We start from the raw sequence: 17,506 nt of genomic DNA, 5'->3' as shown, positions 1-17,506 counted from the left end.
TTATATTCTGCCTTATTTTTCTTAACTTGTGTGGCAATTTTATTTTTCACATCAATCTAACTTGGTTTTATGAAGTGTTGAGTCATGACTAAGGCCATATTAATTGGAATCAGGGTGGGTTGTTGACTAGTCCTTAGAACTGGGATTATGATTTTGTTTCCAGGTGAAATGGTAAATTGAGCACCTGTTTTCAGAAATTCTGAGGGAGACTGAAATTCATCTCAATATTTGAGGGTGTTTTTGTCTGTAGTAGTCATATCTCTTAGTTGCATGTCACAGGCAGTTGCTGCACTATTTCTCTGCGTGAGCGTTTCCCAGAAGGTTCCGGAGAAAAGCCCACTTGTGGCTGGAAGGCAGAAGCAATGAGGTTTGGAAACAAAGTATCTAGAGGCAGTGTAACACCATGGGGAGCTCAGGCCCTCCTGGGTCTCCTTAGACATTTGTTGATTGAAATCTTCGCTCTTAACCCTTGCTAGCTGAGTGGCCTTAACACAAGTTACCCTCTATGGGACTCAGTTTCTTAACCTGTAATAATAACAGTTCATCCCATATCTCTCTGGGATTCTGTAGGGATTGATTAATTAATATAATGTATGCAAATCACTTAGCCCAGAAGATACTTTTAAGTGCAAGATATTAGCTTTGTATAATAATATTTTTTTTTACTAGTTTTTGCCCAGTTCCAGTAAGCATAACTCTCAGGGGAATAAATATAATCATGAAACACTTTATTTTTTCTTTGGCCAAAATTTTTCAAGGCTTTCTGAAGTTTCCCTTTCCCACCCCTTAGCAACATCTTGAGTAAATTCTATTATATTCTGGTCTCTTTGAACAATTAAAATTCAATCTTGTTTAAAATTTTCATCTCAAGTAATGTAAATCTCATGCCTTGTGTCCCCATCATCCTTGCTCCCAACAGCCTTGAACTGGAACTCTGAATACCTAGAGTGGGAAACAGGTGATGTGTTCTGACTCCAACAGCTATTTCCTGCTCCCTCTTGGAGACCCAGCAGCCTTGATTGGGGAAGCAGGGAGCAGGAAGGGGACAAGTATTTATTATTGGCTTGTTTCTTTCCTGGCTGCTCCCATGGACCTGACCTATTGGTTGTCACATATCTGGATGGTCATGCCTGGTCTTCTGTGCCTTAGCCAATGTTGGCTCCCTCACAAGACACATGCCTGAGTTCCCAGGGAGCGGTCCTATGGGGTTTCCACCACAGCACAGTTGTCTAACATGCCAATCACGGTCAGTATTTTAGTTTGCCAGGGCTGCCATAGAAAAGTACTACAAACTGGGTGGCCTGAACAGAAATGTATCGTCTCACAGTTCTGGAGACTAGAAGTTTGAGATGCAGGTGTCAGCAGGATTGGCTCCTTGGCTTGTGGAAACATCGGCCCAATCTCTGCCTTCATCTTCACATGGCATTCTTCCTGTGTGCATGGCTTTCAGTGTTCCAATATCCCCTTTCTATAAGGACTCCAGTCAAATTGGATTAGGGTCCACGATAATGATCTCATCTTAACTAATTATATCTACGACAGCCCTATTTCCAAATAAGGTCATATTCTGAGATACCTGGGCTTAGGATGTCAACATATGAATTTTGAAGGGACACAGCTTAATCCACAATAGTCAACAACAATCCTTCCCATGCCAATCAGCCCTTCTCCAAACTCTTGCCTCTATTGGTGCACTCACTGCAGGCAGGCAATGAAGGAGTGCATGGGGTGGACCCTTCCACTGACACATGCCTTGTTACACCTATGTTTATCACAAGAAATAAGTACCTAGACTCTATGACCCACTCACCCCCCAGCCTCCAGCCTCCCAGTTCAGCTTGATCTCATATGCTATATGATTCTAAGTGACTTGAGTCTACACCATGCCTCCAAATAGATATTCTGGTAGGAAGTCTACTTGAGTCCCAAAACTTTGTTTATCCTTTTATAAATGTGAACTCTTTTTTTCTAAATCTGGTTGGCCCAGTGATGGTCATGAAGTAAATATTTTCTGTTCCTCTCCATACATCTCTGTCGGGGAGGTAGTAAAAGTGTAAGAAAGAGATGTGAAGGCAGCAGGAGAGCTGAGTGATACTTTAATTAATTTCCTCAAAGGCAGCTGGGTACCGTGGCTCAGGCCTGTAATCCCAGCACTTTGGGAAGCTGAGGCAGGTGAATCACTTGCGATCAAGAGTTTGAGACCAGCCTGGCCAACATGGTGAAACCCCATCTCTACTAAAGATACAAAAATTAGCCAGGCATGGTAGCTCATGCTGTAATCCCAGCTACTCAGGAGGCTGACGCAAGACAATCGGTTGAACCCAGGAGGTGGAGTTGCAGTGAGCTGAGATCGCGCCACTGCACTCCAGCCTGGGCGACAGAGTGAGATTCCATCTCAAAATAAAATAAAATTTTCTCAAAGGCTAATGCAGGTTTTCATCTGCTCTAGGTTATCCATCATAGCCCATGGACTCATAAGTCACACATTGCAGACTCTATTGTGTTTATTCATTTCTTCATTTTAAAATAAGACTGTTCAACGTATTGTCTCAATGTTCTGATAATTTGAAAAATTGGTTCCAGAGTAATTGGTCATCCAGGAAAACACTGTGGCAGGTTTTGGGATGGAGGGTTAATACAGAGAGGAAACCACAACCTAAGATCCCAAATGCCTGCCCAAAATAACTGATCACTTCCGTAATAGCACTTCTAAACATAATAATTATATTTTGCCAGTCAAAAAGGGTAGAAAAGAGCAAACTCAGTGGAAGGTGATTTCTTTTCAGATTGTAGCAGGTGCGATATATAATCCTGGCCAATTTCACCATTTCTCCAAAGCAGTGGTACTATAAATGTATTCTCTGGACCAGCAGCATCAGCATCACCTGGGATCTTGTTAGAAATTTAGATGCTTGGGCCACACTCCAGATATACAGAATCAGAAACTCAGGGAGTCGGGTCCAGCAAGCAGTATTTTAACAAGCTCCCAGGTGATTCTGATGCATACTCAAATTTGAGAAGCACAGCTCTAAAGCAGCCATTAACTATGGCTGCACCCTGAACATCTGAGATCCTGAACAAAAGCAATTGTCTGGGCCCTTCACACTTACCAGTTAGATCACAGTCTCCAAGGTGGGACCTTCTTTTTTGAAACAGGGTTTCACTCTGCTGCCCAGGCTGGAGTGCAGTGGCGTCATCTCAGCTCATTTGCAGCCTTCGCCTCCCAGGTTCAAGTGATTCTCCCTCCTCAGCCTCCCAAGTAGCTGGGAATACAGCGGCACACCACCACACCTGGAGCATATATAGATATATATATATATTTTTTTTTGGTTTGAGATGGGGTTTCACCATGTTGGCCAGGCTGATCTCAAATTCCTGACCTCAAGTGATCCACCCACCTCGGTCTCCCAAAGTGCTGGGATTATAGGCATGAGCCACCATGCCCAGCCTGGGTGTGGCATTTTTAAAAAGCTCTTCAGATGGCTCTAAAGGGAAGCCAGAATTGAGAACCATGCCTGCAAATCAGTAGACTTCACACTGCTCTGAAGAATCCCTCCAGGGCCGCCATCAGGTGGGAACGAGCCCCGCTCTCAGGGCTTCAGGCCCCTGTCCTAATTCACCCGGAGCACCTGAACACTTATTTTTTTTCCACGCTTGGCTTAGGGTAATGTTTTCTTTGAAACAAAGGTTTCTGCAGCTAAAAACCACAAACATAAATTCTTTGAAAGATAATAAATTCTAGAAGCCCCTTCTGTCCTTCTAAATCCATTTTATGCAGAAGGTGAGACAGAAAAATAAATATATCTAAAGCTTATCATGAAAGAATAATGGCAGGAGGCTTCTCGTGAGGTTATTGGAAAGCTGAGGTTTTGGAACAGACTAAAGTGCATGGAAACATTTGTGTGGGAAGTTCAGGAATGTGGTGTGCTCTTCCAGCTTCTCAATGCTTCACTAATCTGATCCTCTAAAACTCCTTGCTTGTTAGAACATAAATTATACTCTCACAGATTAAAACCATGTTCATCTTGTGAAAAATAATTCATGGTACAAAAGTGCAAAGTAGATATTTTTCTTCCTAATTTTGGTTAGCCAGTATCGAATCTATGAGCAAAAGATAAAATACAGAGATAGTTAAAATAGTAAGGTTGTCAAGGAGGGGCTACATCAACATAGATGGCCCACATTGGAATTTTTTAATGGAAAATAAGGTATTGAAACTATTTTAGAATACCTATTTTATATATATATTTATTGGGAGAAGTTTGTGTACATAAAGACATCAAGGTATATAAGGAAGAAGAAATATAAGATGTGGACAGCTTTATTAATCAAGGTAGATAGTACATTGAAATATCTGTCTCTCTTTATCTCACACACACACACACACACACACAGACAGACTACAATGAAAGACTTTGCCAACATTCATGATTAGGAGCTTTTAAATATCCACTAGGTGCCTGGAAAAGGAAACCTTACTGAGGATAAAGTCTAGAATTTACTGTGATGATGATGGATGTGCATTCTGAGTAAGCACAAAAAGAATGAACAATATTTAAATTTGGAGAGGTATGAAAACAAATGCCTGATGAGTGTCATAAATGTCAATTGAACAGATGGACGGAAGAATGAACCTGCTGGGTGGGAAGGCAGAGGTGGTTGTCAAAGGTGGTGAAAACAGGAAACTCCAGTTGGTGGGATACATGGCTAGAATTATAATAATAACAGTGATCATCATAGGCACCTCCTTCCTCCCCCCAACCCAACTGTATAAATAAGGAACTAGTGTATGACACACACTCCATAAAACACTCATAAAATCTCATCATCCCTCCAGTTCTCTTTACATGCACCCCAGCTCTAAAAACTCAACAAAAAGGCAGATATTCTCTTGGCAGCAAGAAGAGTAAATACAACGTTTTTCCTTTCCAGGGGAACAAGGAGTTGGAACTGATAGACAAAACAGAAAAAGTGAAACTCTTCTTCCACCCTGAATCTTTAATTTTGGAAGATCAGAAACACTGTGGCTCAGCTTGAGAGGCTTTTGGTCATGGCTTTTAAATGACTTGAGGACAGAGATTACACCCCCTCAGGTTTAAAACGCCCAAAGGGAAGCATCAAAACTTTCATTTGAAGTAAATTATGAAGAGAAGCCTAAATATATTTTGAATTTTCTGATAAAGTTCTGGATCATAGATAGTCTGCATCCTATGTATATATTCCTACCATATTTTCAAACATTTTTAACAGTGAATTCCTGCTTATGTATTAACTCTTACGACCAAACCATGGTTTATAAAACAGATTAAAGTAGGGCTGCACTGTCCAATTCAGGGGCAGAGGAAATCAGGGAGCTAGGTCACCCCACTACCCCATGGGGACTCTTAGCATCTTCCATGAAGCATTAAGACACTTAGCAGAGTATTTTGACAATAATTGATCTAATATATATACTGTTATATATCATGAGTGCATAAGGAATATACATGTAAAATTAAATACAAATGATGGTAGTTCAATAATAGTATTTGCCATATAAGGTAGTTAAACTGTCTATGTACCTCCTATGAGATAATTCATTCATTTCTATCTCACTGACCCAGGCACCACCCCCATAAAAATTGTCTTGCTCCAAGGCCTTCAATTTCTCACCCTACTCTTCATCTCGAGCAGATATTTTTCACTTAAAAAAATTGGAAGCTTCACTTATTTTTCTTTTGAGCTGAGATACAACTTACAACAATGAAGTGTACAACCGTTCTAAAGTGTAAAGCTCCATTGTTTTGACCTATGGACACACCTGTGTAATCCCCATGTAAATCAAGATAGAGAACACTTTAGCATATCAAAATGTTCCCTCAAGTCAATACCATCTCCAGAAGGTAACAGTTCTGACTTGTAACACCAAAGATCAGTTTTGCCTGGTTTTGAACCTCATGTGAACAGAATCATATCGTGCAAAGATCTTGTGCCTGGCTTCTGTCATTCAGCATGTGTGATTCATCCATGGCCCTGTGTGTGATAAGAATTCATTCCTTTGCATTGCCATGTAGAAATGTCCTTGATTTTTATTTTCCTAAGACCAAAAATTATCTGGCATATATAATTTTTACCTACCCAACCTTCCTCTCACATATATTATTATCAGAATTTAGGGATGAAAAGGACCTTAGGACCTTAAAGATTGTCTAGCTCACTAATATTAAGACACTGGCCTAAGGTCATGGTGGTGGTTCTTGGGAGAGGTAGAACAGAGATGTTTGGTGTCTTGACTCCTGTCCAGCAGCCTGTCCTTTGCCTCATGCTCTTCTTCTCTATTGATAATCTGCTGAGAAATTTGGCTTTAGCTCTTTCTCACTTTTCCAGGGTGGATCTGTCCCTCTTTATGGCCCCTTCTTCTCCTCTTTCCAGCCCATACTCATCTGCAATATCCTCACAGAGTTGCCACTCCCCATTCTTTTTTGTTCCATATTTCTGCTGCCACCTCCCCCTGCATTCAGCTAGTCCTTGGTGCTTTGAAATTCCTCCTCCTATATCACTCAAGGAATATTTTCATCACCATGCTGGTCACTGATATTTTTCTAGCTATCTTTATTTTAACACATCTTATTACATCTTTCTAGTTACCTCTCCTCAGATTTCTGAGACTTTTTATTTTTATCTATTGGAATTATTGTCCTATCTAACCTTCCATAATTTTCCAATCTCATCATAGTTTTTTTCATTGTTTCTCTGGATCTGTGTTCTATACTTGTTCCCTCTGCTGTTTGGTTTTACTTCATATTATCTAATTTATTAGAATGGTAAAATTATGAATAAATTTAATAGCACAACAATTGAAAGTCAGAGATTATTTTTAAAAAGTCATCAGGATGGCAATCATTTATGTACGTAGACTATGTGCCAAGCACTATTCTAAACATTTTCCACGTTAACTCATTTAATCATTCCAGCTACCCTCTACAGTAGTTGCTACCTTTAAGAACCCTGATTTACAGATGAAGAAATCGAAGTACTAACAAGAAGTACCTTGCCTAAGGTCATAAAGCCTATTAGGAGTTGAATTCAGGGGGTCTGGATCCAGAATCTTTGATCTCAACTGCCTCCTAAAGATGAAGATGGTACAGTACAGAATGTAAGTAGGAGAAGAAGAAGCCAAGTTACAGTATTTGAGATAAATTTTTAGAAAACATCTGGAAGGGATTTTGGGATGGGCAGCAAAATAGCAGACTTGGGAATACACTACATGGCATGTAAATAAAATGGAGTTTTCCAAATGGCTCAGAAACAGCTGCCTTCATGTCAGAAATAGAAGAAATGATATTTGAGCATCCAACCAGTGTTGCAAGGACAAATTGCTGGTGTCAACTTGAGGACTCATCTAGAAAAAGGAATGATGTTTGGGGTTAGTCCAAAACAATTACTTAGACCAAGTTTATTCTTATAGATTAAAATGTAATGACAGCCTATACATTATAAAAAATAAAAACGCTAGCTCATTGCTTTCTATAATATGTCAAATTGGATGAATTAAATGGGCAAAATAATTAAGTTGGCAGAAATTAACCACATGTAATTTATTCAAGACAGTATTTAATTATTTTCTATAGCATCCATGGTGTCTAGAATAGTATTTTCACATCTTTCATAACAAAATTGCTGTGTTCACATATGGACTCAGTAGTGGGACTTAAAAAGTGATGGATGGTTGCAGCTGATTAGGAAATAATAAATAGCCAACATTCATTAAACCTTGATTGTGTTCTAGGCCCTATCCTAAGCACTTTATGCCATTCAGTTCTCAAAAGAACCTTACATGGAAAGCGCTATTCCCATTTTCAAATCATAACATTAAGGCTTAGAGAGGTTATGTAGCAGGCTCAAGGTGGCACAATTAAGTGGTGAAGCTGGGGATCAAGTTATGTATTATTCACAGAGAACTGAACATTTGTGCCTATATGTAGAAGTCATATTAATTCAATTGATGCTGCCGAAAAGGAAATACAGAGGAGAAAAAATGTTTTATTTGAGGCTTCCAGAACATAATTCTGCTTTCCCCAGATACATCTTCTCTTGTGAGGCTCAAGGTCTGCATGAAAGGATTTTTGGTCAATGGTTACACCTACAACAAATCCACTAGAAATGAATAATACCAAATATATTTAGTGTTGTTTGTGGTTTGCAAGCTTCTTTATCTTACTTAATTTCACTTTTTCTCACAATCGTGAGAGGTACTCTAGAGAGTATTATGCAGAAACCTAGTCACAGGAAGGGAAAATGTGTTGCTCGCATCTTACAACAAGAGAGTGACAACAGGTCCCTGCGATAGAATCCAAATCTGTTCATCCTTACTCTTGACCCAGGGCCTGTTTCTTGGTTTCCCTTAAATTGGATCCCTTTTCCTCATTGCCTTCCTCGAATATTTGCTCATCTCTGTGCGTGGTCTAAAGAAAATCCACAGCAAATGTGAACTGAAGAAAGACAAGTTATTTTGTCTGAACATGCTGATGCTTTACAGAAATTTAGATGAGTTTCATCATCTAATGATGATCTCATTAATCTAACTCTACTGTCATGGCAAGAGTACCATACAGAAATTACAATACTTTCCAAATGCAGGCTTTTAGGCAAAAATGAACGTAAGTTGGTGTTTTTTACATTGATTCTCTGTATTGTTAAGCAACTCTTAACAGATCAAGCTTTGGTACCACGCGTACCTGCATTCAAAACCTAACATTTAAAATTAGTGGCATGGGCAAGTATACTCAAATTATCCAGGCTTTACTTTCCTCATCTGTAAAAATTATCTAATAATACTTACTTTGTAGGGTAGTTGTAAATATTAAATAAGGTATGCAAGGTGCTTGCAACAGTGCCTGAGACCGCATAAGCAATAAATGGTAGTTATCATCACCTCCTGTATTTCACGTGAGATAGCATTAGTTTTAAGACTCCACATTATTTTCTCAAATTAAAAAAAAAAACACTGCCAATTCAACTACGTCTTACCATTGATTGTAAGATGCATCTAATTGTAATGTTAGAAATGTGAAAAAGTTTCATCTTAAACATATATGTAAATATATATTTCATCTTAAATATATATATATGTAAGTGTGTATGTGTGCATTGTGTGTGTGTTCAAAGATTTAAACCGCAAAGTCTGCTGAATGAAGTTTGAGTGGAAAGTTTTAACTAAATTTCCCCAAAGACAGTTTAAAAGCTGTTCTCTCTTCAACTAAGTAAGATTCAACAGTATAATGAAAATGGTCTGAGGTAGACAGCATTATGGATGCTTCTCTAGTTGGTATATTTTTAAACATATAAAGGATGTTTTAATCATGTGTACGTGTTTACAGATTTTTGTGATGGGCCAATAATGTACATTGCAAATATAAATAAATACTTCTGATAGATCACTTGAAAAAATAAGAAATATTTTTGTTTATAACCAGATAAATACCCTTGCAGATGTTTTCCTGTAAAAGAAGTGATATCCAGTGAATTTCAGGAACTTTATTGGAATGACAAAGTTCAAACTGCTGCCAAAGCCAACACATGAGGTTTATATATAGAGAGAAGAACGGATTTCACTGTGTTGATGAGATTTTTATTTCATGGTTCCCATTTTCCATTACTGCTTGGTCAGTGGCCATGAAGGATTCAAGGTGGTTATGCCCAATAATTCCCAACTTTACTCAAAGCCAAACCCAGATATTAACAAATATTAAATATGGAGGGACCCTAGCAAACAATAGAGAGCTATGCTAGGATCTCTGTGAATATTTGAAGATAATCTAATGTATAAGCTATCTTTGGAACAATGACTTGTTTAATGATATCATGACTCTAGTATAACTAAGTCATGGCACAGCTGATTCAGAATTTCAGACACTTTCACTATTGCAACAATTGATCACATCAAATGCATGAATCCAATTCAGGAGGTGTTGTTTCTTGGAAGCGAAGATTAATGATACTTCAGCAGCTTTTTTACTACCATGGCTTAGTATTTGCAAATGGAGACCTCATTTATTACAGACACTTGAAGTAAGCTTAAAAGAAAAAGAGCTCTCAGACCAACAGCTCGTAGTAAATGAAAATAAATTGAAATGTTATGTTTTTGAAATATTTGTGTATTTGTGCTTTTCCTTGATTTATTTTAAGATCATTTTACTTTCTTCCTTTATTTTTTCTTTTCTTTTTTTTTTTTTTTTTTTTGCTTTGGAGAATGGAATACAGAGACAGACAGCCAGGGCTGTGCTTCCTACTGAATTCCAGATTTGAAAAGTAAGAGCTCTTTGAAGGTACTCTCACAAAGGTGTATTGTAACTTTTTGAATCTAAGATGACTTTGATTGTAAACTGGAACATTGATTTGATGTACCACTAAGAACAAGAAAATACTGGCAATCAAACTGTAATGTACCAATCAGACACTTTCCATTTCAGAGAGGTTAAAATATGAAAATACAGATGAGTTAGAATTGATAAGATATGAATTTTCATGCTAAAATGTAGCCAGGACATCCCAAGAATATTCAAAGAAGACCACATTTTATGTTACAGAGAAAATCAGGAAACTTGATAACTTTAGGAGGCATTATGGAACTCCTACATCACTCTGAGTGCTTTGGAATTACCCAGTGAAATAGATTTCTAATTCTGCATTCTAAAACTCAAGGGATCTCCGCCACCTACCAACTCCCCATGAACCAGCACAAATCCCAGAGCAAAGGAAAGATTCACAGCTTTCATGACAGTTATTGGAATGTTCGTTGCCAGTTTTGTACAAAGGAGGGAGCTCAAGAAAGCATTACAATTCTCTATTATTCTGCCATAAGAAAGAATGAAATCTTGTCATTTGCAACAGCACGGATGGAACCAGAACATTATGTTAAGTGAAATAAGCCAAGCAAAGAAAGACAAATTTCACATATTCTCACTTATTCGTGGAAGCTAAAGTTTTTAAAAATTGAACTTATGGAAATAGAGAGTAGAATGATGGTTAACAGAGGATAGAAAGGGTAGTGGGAAAGGGGAGAAAATGAGAGGATGGTTAATGGGTATAAAAATGCAGTTAGATATAATAAATAAGATGTAGTATTTGGTAACATGATAGGATAACTACGGGTAACAATAATTTATTGTATATTTTAAAATAACTAAATGAGTAGAATTGGGATGTTCTTAACACAAAGAAATGATAAATGCTTGAGGTGATAAATGCCTTAATTACTCTGATTTGATCATTACACATTGTATGCCTGTATCAAAACATCACATGTATCCCATAAATACATATAGCTATTATGTACTCATAATAATTTTTTTAAATCCCAATTCTTACTAAAAGTAAATTGCTGATAAATATATTTCAGTGGATGTCCTGGGGACCAAGAAATTGCTGAAGTCTCAGAATTACCCACGGCATATGGATTCTCCTACTGTGAGACAATATGAGAGGTTTATTCCTCTAAGGTAAGTGAATGCTTCACACTCTCTTCTCTCCATCAGACTCATTTTAATTCACTAAGCCACATTATGATAAATATGATGTACTAGTGGGGACACAGAGATGAAGGACAAGTACTGGAAGCTATATTCCAAAGGGTTACTGATGTTAAATCATACTAGCAAGTCCAAGCAGTCAAGGACTAGGCTGAGAACAGTTATAAAACCCAAAGGAAAAAAAAAGTCATGAAAATTATCACGCAATGATAGAGAAAGCAAATTAAGTTTATCTGAATGGAATTTAGAGATGAAATGCAAATATCTCAGAGCCTTTTTACATATTTCTAGCATGTTGGGGTGGATTAGCCCTGTTCTTTTACAGGATGAAACAGGAAGCAACCAGCAGCAGCATCTCTGACTAGATCTTTCTTAACTCCTAGTGATAAATGTGGTCCTCCACTAGGGTTTCCAAAGGGAAGGAAATTCTAGGAGCATTATCTCCCCCAGCGTCTCCCAGAAAAAAAATTATATATATATATTCTAAATTGGACAGACATTATAGAGATGATGTCCATGCCTAGACATTTTTATATTTGGATGCTTCAATTAAGGAGAAAGAAAGACTTGAAAATGAAATCTAATCTCATATTTGTATAGTCTGCCAAGTCTCTGTAAAACTGTTTTAGCAGAAAATCAAAAAAGTTGCCCCCAAACTGTGCAAGATCCTTTTCTATTTATTTTTTATTCTCATTAAACATTGTTCTCTCTTTTAGAAGAGAGAAAGAAATGAAGAGAACATGTGCAGAAATGGTATGCCTACATTGCAACCTACATAACAACAAATTACAATGAAACCCAACTTCAAGTGTGCCAAACTACACAAAACTGTGAAGTAACTGAAGCCAAACTGTGAGGCAAAAATGTTTAGGTTGCATTTAAGTTGAATCGTTAGGCAGTGTGTGAACACAGGAAAAGAACAAAATAAAGTGTGTGCAATTTACTTTTAAGCTGTTTTTAAATTCCAAAATTGATATGTACTTTATACACATGATTCTACCATTTTTCATCGATTTCAGGAAATTAATTAGGCTTTGGACCCTGAGGATTTCCCATGTATGTGGAGTGTCTGTCCTTTAACTCAGTGGGTGCTCCATAGAGCAGAGCAGCTGCAACAACTTGAAAGGCATTTCTATTGTGCATTGCTCACTGTGGTCCTGAGAACCGGAACTGAGGGAGGTTTACCAATGCTGCTCTCTGCCTTTATTGCTATGCGGGTACACCTTCCTTTATGGAAGGGGTATGCTCTCTAAATAGTAAATGAAAGCGAATTTCTCCTTATTGCTTTTCATTTTGTAGTAATAAAATTAGGGCTTTGTTCCCATGTAAAAATTTGAGTTCTGATATAAAACTAACATTCCTTACAAGATGGAAGCAACTCTTTTTTTAAAAAGAAATCACATGATGAAAAGGACATATTTTTTCCAATTCCCTAATGATAATTCTCCTATGAAATGTTTGTGCAGACTAAAATGAAACTGATGATTCTAAGAAACAGAGCCCTCCTGGGGCTTGTTTCACATAAAAGCAATTGCCTAAACTTTAAGTATAGAAGATGTTCTTTTAAGTACAGTTTGTAACTCATTGCATTCCATGAGGAGCGGACATTGTCTGACATTCCTTTAAATGTAATGGTTCTTCTGCAAAAATTTCCTTAACAGTGATAGAAAACTTCCTGCCATAGGTCAGGGTTTGCTCATGTTTGTTTTACATTTATTGAGCGCTTACTGTGCACCAGGTGCTTTCTCATACCTTTGTTTTCTTTGATCCTTTCAACCCAAAGATGTACCTATTAATACCACAATTTTTAAAAACAAGGAAATGAAGCTTCAGAGAGGTTACATAAACAGTTTAAAGAAAAATTTTAAGCGAAAGAATTAGGATTTGCACCCAATTTTATCTAGCATCATAATCTACTTTCATAGACTACTCCTAAACGAGTATACTGGTTGTGACATTCTTTGTTAGCATTTCCTTTACTAAACATGCTTCAGTAGAATTTTACTCAGAACCATGGGACACAACTATCTTTGGATAGCCCCAATTAAATCCTTTAAGAAATACATATAGGGGCCAGATGCAGTGGCTCACACATGTAATCCCAGCACTTTGGGAGGCAGAGGCAGGTGGATCATGAGGTCAGGAGCTCAAGACCAGCCTGGCCAATGTAGGGAAAGCCCGTCTCTACTAAAAATACAAAAAAAATTGCCAGGTGTGGTGGTGGGCACCTGTAATCCCAGCTACTTGGGAGGCTGAGGCAAGGAGAATCGCTTGAACCTGGGAGCTGAGGCAAGGAGAATCGCTTGAACCTGGGAGGCAGGGGTTGCAGTGAGCCGAGATCGCACCACTGCACTCCAGCCCAGGTGACAATGCAAGACTCCGTCTCAAAAAACAACAACAACAACAAATATATATATATATATATATATATATATGAATAAAAAATAGAGAGAGCGAGAGAGAATAGTATTTATTGGTCCACACTAGAGACAAACTCACAGCCAGCCCTGAGAGTTAGCCTGTAGGTAATATACTTTACAAAGAAGAGCAGAAGAGTACTGAAGACCAGCCCCATCCTGGGATATATGAGGTCTCTAAAGCAATAGATTACGTTCAAATGAATCTCCACTGTCCTTTCTCTTGGTAGAGGTTTGATTAGGCAGTGGTGTGTTCTGCAGCACTCAACTTTAATATGCATAGAAATCACCAGGGAATCTCGTTCAAATGTAGATTCTGAGTCTCTGGGTCTGGAGTGGGCTCAAGATTTTGCATTTCTAACATGTTTCCAGGTAAGGCTGAGATTGCTGGTTCAGTGACCACACTTTGAATAGCAAAGGTGTAGAGGACGTCACTAACTAGGGCTTCAGACAGACCAGTACTAAAAGCTCAGCTCTACCACTTAATACATATATAAATTAAGGCAATTGTCTTTATATTTGAGCTTCTGTTTACACATCAGTAAAGTGGAAATGATAACATTTAATTCGAACTATATGCCAGGCACTGCTGCAAATGCATTGTAGAAATTAACCCATTTTATATTTACAATAACCCTATTTTACTATTTATAATGATGAAAGTGATAGCAGAGAGAGTTTACATAATCTGCACCAAGATACATGGCTAGTAAGTAGCCAAGAGGGAATTCAGACCCTAGGCAACACAGCTCAGGCACCCACTCTTAACCACTGTACCCTTCAGGAGTACACTGTATGAGGTTTTGCTATCATGCATGTAAAATACCATAGATTGTGCTCAATAAATCTGAATTCCATTTCCCTTCTTCTACACCAAGATTGGTTGTCTTTAAGCAGAATCTACTTATATACTTTTAACATAAAATTTGGAAACTGATGGCACTTCGTGTGATGTGATTTTCACAATGATCCTCTCTTGTGGTCTTTTCTTTAGCTATAGAAAGCCTTTGGTGTTTAGAGATTTGCATGAATTGCTACTGTTGACAGAAGGAATTGCTTTGATCTCTCTTGCATTATTGCTTGATCCATTTGTTTCTTTTCTTTCTAGAAGTGCCAAAAAAAGCCTGCAATAAATAGAAAAGAACATTTGCTACAGCTATGATCTTGTAACTGTACCTTGCCTTTAACAAAACAAAAATCTAGATTTGTCAAATATAAAATGGTGGTAGTTTATTTAACAAACAGATTTACCAAAATCTTTTTTAAAATTGTAAACTCTCTGATGTTTTTTGTAATTTTGACTACAGGTTATTTTTTATTTAAAATATCTTTTAAAACTATAACTGTTATGTTAGAAATTGGAAACAATTGAAAAAATATTTTACATACACTAATAAGTGTGCAGATAAACTTAACCTATCACAAAAAACTACTTTATATTCTGTACTGGCAAAAAAGTTTGCATGAAAAAGTAGCTTCAAATCTTTACAATTTAAATGTAATTATTAACATACTCCAAACCATGAAAATTCTTTCCCCTTTTATTTTATTTCTACCTATCATAGTTGTCCTCCTGAATCTGTGCTGAGGAATGACAGCGCACTTCTGACAGAAAAACTTTCTGGAATCCAGATTCTATGTCTCTGGAAATACTTCCCTCAAGTAGTAGAGCTGTTTGGGGCGTTTATGTGCTTTTTTGTGTGGTTTTTTGTTGTTTTTGTCGTTTTCATAGCAGATTTGCCTCTTGCCATATCTGTCATTTGGTAAAGCACACTGTAGAAATTCTCAATTTTTAAGGTAGCTATGTTCTAGGTTAATGCTAATGTAGGGGAGAGATGATGAGTATGAATCAGTCTATCTATTATCTGATCAGCTCTAGGGAAAAAGATAAAAAATAATTTTAAAAAGTTGTCTTTCAAGAGTAGGAAATGGTGGGGATAGGCAAGGGACTAGCAATACAAGATTAAAAACATATATATTTTATACTCTCAGTGATTAAATAGCACATGATTCAACAATGGGATAGCAAATCCAGAATTTGAATTTGAAATAAATTCAAATACATAAAAGAATTTACAATATAAAAGGGGAGTACCTCAATCCAGCTGAGAAAATACATATCATGCAAAAAATAATATCGAGACAACTGGGTCCAAAAATCAGTTGGATCCATGGAGGATATGTTATACCAAGAGTAAATGTCTAATAAATTGAATATTTAAATGTGAAAAAATAAACCACGAAATTTAAGAAGAAAGCAATGGGGAAGTCATAGACAAGCTTGGTATAGGAATAATCTGCTGCCTTCCCATAAATCTTCAAGAGACCACAGGGAGCAGATTATTCCTCTTTATACTCTCAGCCTTACCACTTTCCCACTCTTGCCTCCACCACGCCAGTGGGCCAGAGACTTCAGTGGCAGATATTGAAGTCTCTGAAGTCTTTTGCGTCAGTCATGACCTCCCCAGTTCCTGAGCCAATCTTGACTAGAGAGTCCATTAAAAATGCTAGTCCTTGACTCAGTCTTCAGTCCTAACCGGCTATATCTGGAGTAAACACTGCTTCCCCCATGCCCACCAAAATATAGCCTTTCTTTTAACTTTGTTGTGTTTGATAACTACATACATTTCTTCTCTTACTCTTCCAAGGTGGAGTCCTTTATTAGTTTGTTTTTCTTTTTAAAGTAACCAAACGTTTTTCACTATCATTAGTGCACATAAACAGAATAAGAATTTGAACTTGGATCTGATTTTCTAGGTCAATATCACTCCTACTCATCTTTGTTCCTGGAGCAGAATGACTCTCTTGCAACAACAACAAAATAATTGTCCATTTAATAAATTGAATCTGAAGACCACAAAGTACATCTGGCTGATTACTAGTTCATACAAATGATGTTTGTGCAAATACCTGGTTGATTACAACCTAGATCATTTGGTCATAATATTTAGATAGCTGTAAGATAAGGTTGCACATAGAGTTGTCTACTCTCTTGTCTTCTTGAAAATAAAACTTCTGCCCAAATGAACCCTGATTTTGCTTAATCAGTTCCCTATGAGAGTCACTGTGGCCTGCAGTTGTTTGATTAAAAGAGCACAAATTGGGGTGCTTCACAGTTCAGAGGCATTTCCTATTGTAATTTAAATAAAGCAGTTGGGGTAGCAGACAATCCTGATGGAAGCTTATAATAGGATTAATAAAGGTTCCATGAGTGAACCCAAATTCACCAAATATCCAAAGTGTTTAAATATCACTAAAATTAATGGATAAAATGTACTTTTTCCCTAAGAATAAACATATAGAGGTTAGAGAGTGCTTGAAAATAAGAAAAGCATATACAAAATTAAAATTCAGAATGACAGTAAAAGAAGTTATTGGTTAGAAAAAAATCACAGTGCACATTTTAAAAAGAAAAAAAAAACTACAGTTCATGGTAAGTCTAAATTACAGTTGGAAGAGTGCCAGCTAGTTACAGCGCACAGAAAAGGTGAAAATCTCCAAACTAGAGTACAATTAATGCTGCCTGGGCTCTCTGGAATCCTTTCCAAATGTATTTCCAAATAAAAGTACTCTGCTTCT

The 17,506-nt window shown here is 37.3% G+C and overlaps 1 annotated feature.

Moving 5' to 3' along the window:
- Positions 12,363-12,868: an enhancer, noted in NCBI's record as "OCT4-NANOG hESC enhancer chr9:13369413-13369918 (GRCh37/hg19 assembly coordinates)". NCBI's record gives its function as "activates a minimal SCP1, AML or CMV promoter by ChIP-STARR-seq in primed H9 embryonic stem cells {active_cell/tissue: H9 hESC(primed)}" and the evidence as "EXISTENCE:reporter gene assay evidence [ECO:0000049][PMID:30033119]".

This window comes from Homo sapiens, chromosome 9, assembly GCF_000001405.40.
Source record: "Homo sapiens chromosome 9, GRCh38.p14 Primary Assembly".
Lineage (NCBI taxonomy): Eukaryota > Metazoa > Chordata > Mammalia > Primates > Hominidae > Homo > Homo sapiens.
Note: the sequence above shows the minus strand (reverse complement) of the source record. Positions and strands in the feature narration are given on the sequence as shown.